Genomic DNA, 12,263 nt, shown 5'->3' with positions numbered 1-12,263 from the left:
GGCCAGTGGCCCAATTTTGGCTCAATGCAACCTCCACCTCCTGGGTTAAAGCATTTCTCCTGCCTCAGCCTCCCGAGTAGCTGGGATTACAGGCGTGCGCCACCACGCCCGGCTAATTTTTATATTTTTAGTAGAGACAGGGTTTCTCCATGTTGGCCAGACTGGTCTCGAACTCCTGGCTTCAAGTGATCCACCCGCCTTGGCCTCCCAAAGTGCTGGGATTACAGGCATGAGCCACCGGGCCTGGCCCTGATCTTTTTGTTTTTAACAGAAATAGGCTCACATTTTTTCTCATTATAAAGCATATATACTCAATATATATAATTTAATACATTCTGAGTCTTTCCATGTTAAAATTCATCTGCAACACCATTTTAAGTGCTGAATATTATACTGTAAGGACGTACCATAATAATAAGCAGCACTTTTATTATGTGCCACACGTTTTATCTCACTCAATTCTCACAGCAACCCCATGAGGTAGGCATTATTATCACCTTCATTTTGCCTCAGAAAAACTGAGGGCTACAGTGATTAAGCAACTTGTCCAAGGGGTTATGCAGTCATTGCTAGAACTGGAATTCAAATACACGTAACGAAGGCTCTTTCGATTGACCTATTCCCTATTGTTAGACATTCAGGCTGTTGCCATATTTTTTGCTAGCTCTTATAAATAATGTTGTAATAATATCTTTTAAGCTAATGTTTGTGCACATCCTTAATTAATTCTTTAGGATCAATTCATAGAGCTGGAGTTTCTGGGTTGCAAGGTTGTTGATACATATCACCAAGCTGCCCTCCAGAAAACTTATACAAATTTACTTCCCAGTAGTGTATTAGAATACCTATTTCCTCATACCCTCTCAACATTAGATACTGTGACTTTTTTTTCTTTTTTACTTTGAACCCCAAATATTGCTAATTTAAAAAATATTTACGTGCCCATTCTTAAGGCATACTATAAAAATAATCAAACTTTCAAAGCAAGCAGAAAACATTGTGATTTATACAGTGTTGGAGATTCTTCCTCAGTGTTTCCCTTTAATAACACTAATTGAGAAGTTGTGCAGTGGCATGAACAGAATCTGAAAAATTTAGGTTTTCCTGAAAAACTCTCATATACACATGGATATATATGTGTACATGTATACATTTTGCATGTATATGCATATATATGTATACGTGTATGTATATATGTATATATGTACATAGAATACACGTATACAAATATACATATATATACACATATATACAGATACACACACACACCTTTGAAGAGGCAGAATTTTAATACGTTTAATTCATGCTACTAAGGTTCACATCTGCATCAATCAAATGCCCAGAAAATTCACAATATATAACATGAAACACTATGGTTTATAAAGTTTATAATCTAATGAAAAAGATATATAACCTGAACTTAAATGTATACATATACTTTCTATAGAAATTATGACACTTTGGCTGTATTATAATGACATGTCATAAATAAGACAATTACTTTCTATTTTTTAATTTTTTATTTATTTAACTTTTATTTTAGGTTTGGGGGTACATGTGAAGGTTTGTTACATAGGTAAACATGTGTCACCAGGATTTGTTATACATATTTTTTCTTTTTTTTTTTGAGACGGAGTCTCGCTCTGTCACCCAGGCTGGAGTGCAGTGGTGCAATCTCAGCTCAGTGCAACCTCCATCTCCCAGGTTCAAGCAATTCTCCTGTCTCAGCCTCCTGAGTAGTTGGGACTACAGGCACGTACCATCATGCCCAGCTAATTTTTTTGTATTTTTAGTAGAGATGGGGTTTCACCATGTTGACCAGGCTGATCTCAAACTCCTGACCTCAGGTGATCTGCCCACCTTGGCCTTCCAAAGTGCTGGGATTACAGGTGTGAGCCACCGCGCCTGGCCTGTTGTACATACTATTTCATCACCCAGGTAGTAAGCCCAGTACCTAATAGTTATCTTTTCTGCTTCCCTCCTCACATCCTCCCCGCTCAAGTAGACCCTAGTGTCTGTTGTTTCCTTGTGTTCATAAGTTCTTATCATTTAGCTCCGACTTATAAGTGAGAAAACATGGTATGGCAAATTTCCTTCATAAAATAATGATGAAAGACTTCCCTAGAAGAGATTATTTTTAATTTATACCTAAGGGATGGGAAGGAACCAATTTAGGTTCAGGCAAAGGCTTAGGATTTCCCACTGAAAAACTTCATCCAGGAAATCATGAGAAGATAGACTGAAATTGATGACACCAGCAGGGAGATAGTGTGAAATGTCTGAGGTAGGTAGGATTTGAACTTGAGCTACAGAATCATAAGCTACAAGAATTTTTTAATTGGACAAAATGTGGATCAAATCTTGTATTGGCTGATTCTTTTAGTAATAATGTGAGAAATTAATTGCAGAAAACAAGGCTTCTGGAAGAGAATTCTCCCCAAATTAAGTACTACAAGTGGCGTTTGCAAAGGAATTACCTTAGATAATTTTTCCACATGAAACAAAGTATTAAAATAGAAATAATGACTTCACTGAGATGTAATAAACATCACTGGTATCTTTTGTGTAAATTTCCCACTGTGCCTTTTTCTCACACTCCAGGAAGAAAGAAAAGTCCTTGGAAGGAACCAAGAGTATCAGCACCAAGGAATGATGTCATGGTGTGAAGGTGGCTGGGAGTAGAAGTAGCGGGAGGTTAGGGAGGGTGCTGGGTGAAGCTAATTACTAAGAATTATCTCCAGTGAAAGGATTAAGATAGGAGGAAAAACCAAGCTTAGTTCCATTTAAGAGAGATCACAGAAAATTCATATTGTAAAGACATTAAGATTTTTAAAAATTATTTTTCATTTTCCTAGGTTTGCTGTTTTTAAGCCATTTCCTACTATAGTAACTAGAGATAAAATGCTCAGAAAATCCTAAACAAAGGGTTGTACACTGTGTTTATAAATGTCTCTGCCTAGTTTCAGAAATGATTTAAGATGGTTTATAATGCTACTTAACATGAACTGAACATGGGCTAGATGTGCAGGGCATAAAGCAGGATCAGGAATGTATTACATGCTTGCAACTTTGTGGGCCATACACTAGATTTGGGGTTTGTGGTTGCCAATAGGAAAAGCAAAACCTAATGAGACAGATGTCAGTAGGCCTAAAATTAGAACAGATGAATTGCTCAAGAAAAGCACAACCTTTTCTCTTAGGAAGATGAGACATTTCCCCTGCTTCCTTTGGAAGAGGAGGGGGTGGGGATGGAGAAGTGACGCAGTGACATCCGGCTTGAGCAGAAGTGCCAGAATTCCTGGTGGGAGAGAAAGGAACAGGCATGGCAACTTCAGAGTTCTTAGGAGATAAAGCAAAGGGGCGATTTGGGAGAAGGCATAGTCTCAAGGTCAGAAGAGGTCTTTGGGCTTCTGTTCAACAGAAGTGGGTGAAGTAATTTCCTGAGAGAAGTGAAGAAAATATTTGCACTTAATTAAACAAAATAATTGTGAGGGAACAGTTTTTTTTTTTTTTTTTTTTTTTACAATGCTTGGAAAATACGCATCTTTATTTTTGTGTTCATTCAACACAAAAACCCATGGCTCTTCAATGCCCTCTGTCACAGTGATTTGTTTCTAAAACACGGTTTTACCTATATACGTATGTATACACACACACACCCATATATATATATATATACACACACACACACATATAATATAAAATATATATATATACATATATATGTGTATATATATATTTTTTTCATATGGAGTCTGTCTCTGTCGCCCAGGCTGGAGTGCAGTGGCGGGATCTCAGCTCACTGCAAGCTTCACTCCCCGGGTTCAAGAGATTCTCCTGCCTCAGCCTCCCAAGTAACTGGGATTACAGGCGCGTGCCACCAGACCTGGCTAATTTTTCGTATTTTTAGTAGAGACGGGGTTTCACTATGTTGACCAGGCTAATCTCAAACTCCTGAACTCAAGTAATCCGCCTGCCTCGGCCTCTGAAAGTGCTGGGATTACAGGCGTGAGCTACTGTGCCCAGCCTGTTTTACCCATATTTAAATACATGAAAAGCAGCACCAATTTTTAAAATTGTGGTAAAATACACTAACGTGAAACTTACCATCTTAACCATTTTGAAGTATACAGTTCAGCAGTGTTAGGTACATTCCCACTGTTGTGCAGCCAATCTCCAAAACTCTTTTCATCGTGCAAAACTGAAACCCTTTAAAATTGTACCCTTGCAAAACTGTACCCTTTAAACAACAACTCCCCATTCCCTCCTCCTCCCAGCCCCTAGCAACCACCATTCTACCTTCTGTGTCTATGAATTTGGCTACTTTAGATGCCTGTGGCACCAATTTTAAGGATAGACCAGTATAGGACATAACCATTAAACTTATAGTTTATGATATCATTCAATAATATTTGTATTTTTTCAAGAATAATGTTTCTATTTTGTAATATAATATCTACTAGAAATGAAAACACCTGTATTGCTCATGCTTTGTGAAAAACATCCAACTAGTATAGAAATGCATAAAGTAAAAATAAAATTCTGCCTATAATGTCATGCTCCAGAGATATCTACTAAAGATAGGTTGATAGATATCCTTCTCGACATCTTTAAATATATATAAGAGCTTGCTATCCATTGATTTTGAACCCTGGGTCTAATTACTAGTTACATAATTAACTGTGGCTGCTGAAGATGGTAGGGTGGAAAGATAGAAGGAACCTGGGTCTCTGATGATGTCATTGGCCCACTGAACTAACCCGGCCTAGAACCTCCTTTTCTTGGGGCTTCTTATTATTTGAGATAATAATGCTCCTTATTGCTCCTTATTGTTTAAGTCTCTCTGTTTTTTGTTTGTTTGTTTGCTTTTGTTTTTGTTTTTGAGACAGAGTCTTACTCTGTCACCCAGGTTGGAGTGCAGTGGCGTGATCTCGGCTCACTGCAAACTTCACTTCCCGGGTTCAAGCGATTTTCCTGTCTCAGCCTCCTGAGTAGCTGGGATTACAGGCGCATGCCACCATGCCCGGCTAATTTTTGTATTTTTAGGAGAGACATGGTTTCACCATGTTGGCCAGGTTGGTCTTGAACTCCCGACCTCAGGTGATCCGCCCACCTTGGCCTCCCAAAGTGCTGGGATTACAGGCCTGAGTCACCTCGCCCAGGCTGTTTAAGTCTCTTCTAATTGGATTTTACTGCTTTTGCCAAAAGCATTCTAATTCATCATGTCATTCTCCTAGAAAATTCAGCAGTTCTATACTAAAGGTAAGTATATACTTACTTATGTCTTATAATAATAATGAAGTGATACTTAGACACAATAAAAGCATATGCATAGTATTGCTATAGCAAGCTAAACCAACAAGCCTTGAAATCCCCATCATCCAATAAGTTAAAATGACTTCAATTCTGCCAAACACAATCTGTTATATAAGATGGTTTATTTTAAATATACATTATATTAAACTGAACGTTATGCAAATTAGGAGCCTAGAATTCCTAAGGAATGTTATGCATTTTTAAAATGCCAAGAATCGCCGGGCACAGTGGCTTATGCCTGTAATCCCAGTACTTTGGGAGGCCGAGGCAGGCGGATCACGAGGTCAGGAGTTTGAGACCAGCCTGGCCAATATGGTGAAACCCCATCTCTACTAAAAATACGAACATTAGCCAGGTGTGGTGGCGCGTGCCTGTAGTCCCAGCTACTCAGGAGGCTGAGGCAGAAGAATCGCTTGAACCCAGGAGGCGAAGGTTGCAGTGAGCCGAGATCACGTCACTGCACTCCAGCCTGGGCAAGAGATCTGTCTCAAATAAAAAAAAAAAAAAAAAAAAAAAGAAAGAAAAAATATCCTTTAAGTATTTGGTACTAGAAAAAAAGATTTTAAAATTATAATTTTTAAAAAGCCAGGTGCACCGGTTGCTGACTATATGTACTATTACTGATTTAAAAAAACCCACATATTTATTGAGCATTTAGTATGTGCCAGTGCTGTGCTGAGTGCTTCATACTGACCAAGGTAATCCACAACAAACCTACAAAGCAGTTACTTTTACATTCCCATTTTACAGATGAGGGATTTGCCTCCCAAATAACTGAGCCTGGATGTACAGTGCCATTTATAGGTCCTTGGCTCTCAGTTATTCTTCAAAATCAAATCTGGCTTAATCTCACCCCACTCCTCCTTCTACTGAAAGTGCTTTCAAATATAAGAATTCATGAGTAATATCTGTTTTGGTAATTCAAAGGACACTTTTCAGTCTGTTTGACGGCTTGACAGCATATGACTTACTACTTTTCCTTGTTTTTTCATGGTACTACTCTCTTCTGAAGCCTCCTCCTGCCTCTCTACTTAGTCCATCACTCTTCTTCTGACTGATTTTTAAGTGTTGGTGATTTTTAAAGTTTTGTCCTGCAACTTCTTCTCTGCTCTTTCTATACTCTCTTTGTAGGTCATATCATTAATTCCCACAGTTTTAAATAACAATCTACCAATGATTCCCAAATGGTTATCTCTAGTCCAGCTCTCACTCCTGAGCTTCAAACTAGTACATCGAACATCACTAGTTTACAGGTCCAAGAGAACCTCCAATGTAACATGTACAAAGCTAAACTCATCCTCCTTTGTAAATCTACTCTTCTTGCAATGGTCCCTTCTTATTCTGTGTCACTACCATCCCATCAGCTGCCCAAGCTAGAGACCTAGGAGTCAGGTTTGCCTCCACTGTTTCCCACCGTCCATTGATTCCATCTTTGAAATTTCTCCTGAATCTGGAACTTTTCTCTATTTCCACTACCATCACACTAGTCCAAGCTACCATCAGCTCTTTGCCAGGGTGATTGCAGTAGCCTATCTGATCTTCTTGCATATACGTTTGCCCTCTTCCAATCCACTTTCCACTCTGCAGCCAGGGCAATCTTTTAACAAATCTGATCATGTCAATCATTGGCTCAAAACTCTTCAATGGCTTCTCACTGACCCTAGGATAAAGTGCAAAATACTTAACATGACTTGAAGGCCCTACAAGATATTGCACTAGTCTACTTCTTCAACCACATCTCTCACCACTGTATCTTTGCTTTCACTGTAGCTAAAATGCACTTCTTTCAAATTTTATACACACTCTTTTATCTATACACCACACTTCCTTTTCCAGGACTTCAAGCATGCTGTTTTCTACCAGGAATATTGTCTACCCCTGCCACCAATATCCCAAACTAGCTAACCCTCTCACATCAGTAAGATCTCAACTAAGATGTTATCTCCTCCCCAAACTCAGTTAGATCAACCCTGGCAACTAGATCAGGGCCTAATACATAGTGGGTCCTAAACCACTATGTTGGCTTCGTTGAGTAGAAGACTGGATAGGTATGGAAGGCTTTGAGAGGCAAGCAGGTGCTCAACAAATATCGTTGAATGGATGAGTAAATGAGTAGAAAGAAGAAATATTTATTTAATGAACAGTTATAATTTCTCCCACTATAAAATTAATGCATTTGTGGGAACAATATTGAATATCATTCTATGAAGAAGAAAATGTCCAGTTTTAAGATTAGCAAGCAATATTTTTTTTTGTTTTTGTTTGTTTGTTTGTTTGTTTTGAGAGAAAGTCTCACTCTGTCACCAGGCTGGAGTGCAGTGGCGCGATCTTGGCTCACAACCTCCAACTCCCGGGTTGAAGCGATTCTCCTGCCTCAGCCTCCCCAGTAGCTGGGATTACAGGCATGCACCACCACATCCAACTAATTTTGTATTTTTGGTAGAGATGGGGTTTCACCATGTTGGCCAGGCTGGTCTTGAACTCCTGACCTCAGGTGATCCTCCCGCCTTGGCCTCCCAAAGTGTTGGGATTACAGGTGTAAGCCACCACGCCTGGCCACGAGCAATATTTTTAAATTGGTATCAAGCTATAACATTTCACTAAAATGTATTCTAGAGATTCTATCACATTACAAATCATATTATAAGAGAAATCTATAATACATAACACATAACACATAAATTACCAAACTGATTCAAGAAATAGAAAATCTCAACAAACCTATAACAAGAGATAGAGTCTGTAATCAAAAACTTCCCAACAAAGAAATGTCCAGGACCAGATGGTTTCAATGCTGAACTCTACTAAACATTTAAAGAATCAACACCAGGCCAGGCACAGTGGCTCACACCTGTAATCCCTGCACTTTGGGAGGCCAAGGCGGGTGGATCACCTGAGGTCAGGAGTTTGAGACTAGCCTGGCCAACATGATGAAACCCCGTCTCTACTAAAAGTACAAAAAATTAGCTGGGCGTGGTGGCGGGTGCCTGTAATCCCAGCTACTCAGGAGGCTGAGGCAGGAGAATCGCCTGAACCCGGGAGGCAGAGATTGCAGTGAGCCAAGATCGTGCCACTGCACTCCAGCTGGGCAAAAAGAGCAAAACTCCATCTCAAAAAGACAAAAACAAAAACAAACAAACAAAAAACAAGAATCAACATAAAATCCTACTCAAGCTCTTACAAAAGTAGAAGACAAAGGAGTACCTCCTAATACATTCTATGACGCCAGCATTACTCTGATACCAAAGCTAGCAAAAGATACCACAAGAAAACAACAGGTCAATATCTCTTATGAATACAGATACAAAAAGATTTATCCCAGGAATGCAAGGGTAATTCAACATGGAAAAAAATCAATGTAATATACCATATTAATTGAACAAGGTGGGGAAACACATGATCATCCCAAGAGATGCAGAAAAAGCACTTGAAATAATTCAACACACTTTCATGATAAAAATACTCAGCAAGGCTGGATTCAATGGCTCACACCTGTAATCCCAGCACTTTGGGATGCCGAGGTGGGCAGATCACTTGAGGTCAAGAGTTCGAGACCAGCCTGGCCAACATGGTGAAATCCTGTCTCTACTAAAAATACAAAAAAATTAGCTGGGCATGGTGGTGCACGCCTGTAGTCCCAGCTACTTGGGAGGCTGACCAGAAGAATAGCTTGAACCCAGGAGGTAGAGGTTGCAGTGAGCCGAGATCATGTCACTGCACTCCAGCCTGGGTGACAAAGTGAGACTCTGTCTCAAAAAAAAGAAAAAAAAAAAGAAAAGAAAAAGAAAAATACTCAGCAAGTAGGAGTAGAAGGACATTTCCTTAACATGATAAAGGACATTTACCAAAAACTCACAGCTAAAATCATATTCAATGATGAGGAACAAGACAAGGATATGTATGCACTTTAGAAACTAGAGAGAGGTACTGGTTGAACAACATTGTGAATACACTAAATGCCATTGAATTGTATATTTTAAAACAGTTAATTGAATGTTATGTGAATTTCACCTCAATAAAATCATATAATGAATCATGTATTCACCTTGGCTTACTGATCTACAAGTATATTCCCTATGTTTACAGGATAATTAGTAGAAAAGAGTTATAATTTAGAGATTGCATGATAATACCATGAAAAGCAAATCTTATTTACAATTCAAGATAAATGTGAGATAAAAGTCTAAAAGCCTGAAAATTACTTTTAGGAGAGTCTGCAAATTTTCCTCTCAAAGTTAGAATTTTCTTTAAAAAAAAAAAAGGGAAACCAGATGGTCTTATACATAAAATCTCGATGTTAAATCCATATGGGATTTAAAAATTAATTCTGTTGCAGCTGCAGCAATCATAACTGTAGTCAATGTGTTTATTTTTCCTTCAGTAATGTTTAGAGCAGTGTTTCTCAAAGTGGGAACTTGTTAGAAATGCAAATTCTCATGCTCCACCCCCATCTACTTAATCAGAAACCCTGGGGGTGAGACTCCCGCTGGCCATCTGTGTTTTAATAAGCCCTCCCTGTGAATGCTCAAGTTTGAAGACCATTGGTTGAGACCAATAAGCACAAGTCTTAGACAGGGAGGCCACTATAAGCATTTCCTTACCAGAGAGCGTCGATTCCTAAATGTTGTTCTGTTTGTCCTAATTCTTAACATGTCAGCTTGCAACACCTGTGAATTAAAACTAAAAAGAAAAACAAAAACATGTGTTATATAAAATCCATTACAAAATTCTTTTTTTTTTTTTTTTTGAGACGGAGTCTCGCTCTGTTCTGTTGCCCAGGCTGGAGTGCAGTGGCACGATCTCAGCTCACTGCAACCTCTGCCTCCCAGGTTCAAGCAATCCTCCTACCTCAGCCTCCCCTAGTAGCTGGGATTACAGGCACGCACCACCATGCCCAGCTAATTTTTGTATTTTTAGTAGAGACGAGGTTTCACCATGTTGGCCAGGCTGGTCTTGAACTCCTGACCTCAGGTGATCCACCCGCCTTGGCCCACCAAAGTGCTGGGATTACAGGCGTGATCCACCATGCCCGGCCACAAAATTCTTTTAAAGATTTCAAATACCTAAACAGCAAGGGTAAAGGCAAGCTGTGCAAAGGTAGAAATTAAAACACACACACACATACAGCCTTGGTTGGCTGGGCCTAAACAAGTCTCCATATAAGGTAAGGAATTCTCAAGCACACTACTTTACTCCTAATCATGCTACGGAGAATGAATATAATTTATTGTGAACTTGGAAATACATCATTTTCAGTGTAAACCTGTAAATGATTTAAATTTATGGTCAGAGATACAACGTGCAAATACCAATTCCCTCTCAACTCCCAAAGTTTCACATGAATACGAGGAATAACCAATAGCAGGGGTTGATGGAACTCAGATTTTTCACAGATGTGTTTGGTTTGGCCTACAGTGTTAAAAATGTTTTTGAATTTGTTTTGCACACTGAAAGATTTCACATTAAAAAAAAAAAAAACACCCAGATTCCAACGTTCTGGCTTCTATTGAAAAGTTGCAAGATTTTGCAACACTGGGCCACATTCCCATGATAACAATGGACTGAAGTTGTGCAGCTGATGCCCACTGAAGACAGGTCAGTGTCCTCAGCTTTGATGGTTGCCCACTCAAGTGAACTTGGTCCTATTTGACCTTGTAATCCTGAAGAAATCATCATTTCATTGTTTTTTCAGAGATGTCGTCCCGCTGTATATTGCCTAGGCTGCCCTCAAACTCCTAGGCTCAACGATGCTCCTGCCTCAGCCTCTCAAGTAGCTAGGACTACAGATCCCAGCGGTGCCCGGCATCTTTTCCTTTTTATTATAACTTTTTATTTTGAAACGGTTTAAGACTCACAAGAAGTTGCAAAAAGAATACAGATGGTTCACATGTACCCTTCATCCAGGTTCCTCCAATGTGAGAAATCATCTGTAATACTTTTGTTTTAGCTGCCTATATCCAATCAACTGCCAGTATTTTAGATTTTACCTCTATACTCGCTCTCTGATAACCACCTGATTCTTGTCAGGCTCCTTGCCAAAAACCAATTCAAGGTCTTTTTCCTTTTCCACAGACTGCATAGTCTAATTGGGCTCCTCGCCTCTCTTCTTTCCCTTCTCTAGGCTAACAGACTACCAGGGGCATCTTCCTAAAGAACAGTTTGCTCACAACTTTCAGTGACTCTCTTCAGTGCCTGTCAAATTCAGTTACGTTCTTTACTATGACATTCAAAGCCATCCACGGTTTGGCTCCAGACTCTTCAATTTCAAGGACTAGTACAATTTCAAAACAAAATCTAGGCAGAAACATACAGTTGCCACCTTTTTCTTTTGCCAAGTCATTTTTTTTTAAATCCCACCATTGACCAATACCATCATTTCATTTGTAAAATGACCCTTTGGTATTAAGAAAATAAGAGAATAACAATCTCAGAGTACAGTACAGTCCTGCCCAGGAAAGATAATTAACAACTACATAATGACATCTTTAATTATGCTGTACTTAACTCTTTTAAAAGCACGGATTGGTAAAAACTTCACCTGAGATCAGCACTGATCAGCAGATGAACATCTGGGAGTCAGGGGTTCAGGCAAAGTGGACCATTCAGTTCTCTGGAACACATCTATGCTTTTCTGCCTTCAAGTCTGTTCTACATATAATACTTAAAATACTATCCCAACCATTGTTCCCCCTCTTTTCCAGGGTGTATCCTATCAATCCATGAAGGCCCATCTCAAATGCCAACTTCTTCATAAACTTTTCCTTCTCCCTCACCAGTCCCGCTGTAATTTCTCCCTTCCTTCTTTGAATTCCCCTAGCACTTTATTTAGCTCCCTACGCACTTATCTTAAGCTCCCTACGCACTTATCTTACTCTACCATATATTTAAGTCCTTCTAGTATTTATATTCCCTATTAAAGCTTATTGAGCCCTGAGATACATCTTTGC

At 39.2% G+C, this 12,263-nt stretch overlaps 1 protein-coding gene across 34 annotated transcripts in view; it reads right to left on the bottom strand.

Moving 5' to 3' along the window:
- PABIR3 (PABIR family member 3) overlaps positions 1 to 12,263 on the bottom strand; it is a 68,408-nt gene that overhangs the window by 40,005 nt on the left and 16,140 nt on the right. For 27 of the 34 annotated variants that reach the window (NR_170982.1, NR_158603.2, NR_158606.2 and 24 more), the window contains one exon: positions 9,918 to 9,996. Coding sequence is in view for 31 of the 34 variants with exons in the window: in NM_001388446.1 (NP_001375375.1) it covers positions 9,918 to 9,996 (79 nt within the window). In the remaining 3 variants the exon portion in view is untranslated. Of the gene's footprint in view, positions 1 to 1,507; positions 3,441 to 9,917; positions 9,997 to 12,263 lie in introns of those variants that run through there. The other 7 variants (NM_001170780.3, NM_001388442.1, NM_001388441.1 and 4 more) reach the window with 3 other exon arrangements.

The sequence above is a fragment of the Homo sapiens genome, chromosome X, assembly GCF_000001405.40.
Source record: "Homo sapiens chromosome X, GRCh38.p14 Primary Assembly".
NCBI lineage: Eukaryota > Metazoa > Chordata > Mammalia > Primates > Hominidae > Homo > Homo sapiens.
This window is presented reverse-complemented; position numbering and strand designations above follow the sequence as displayed.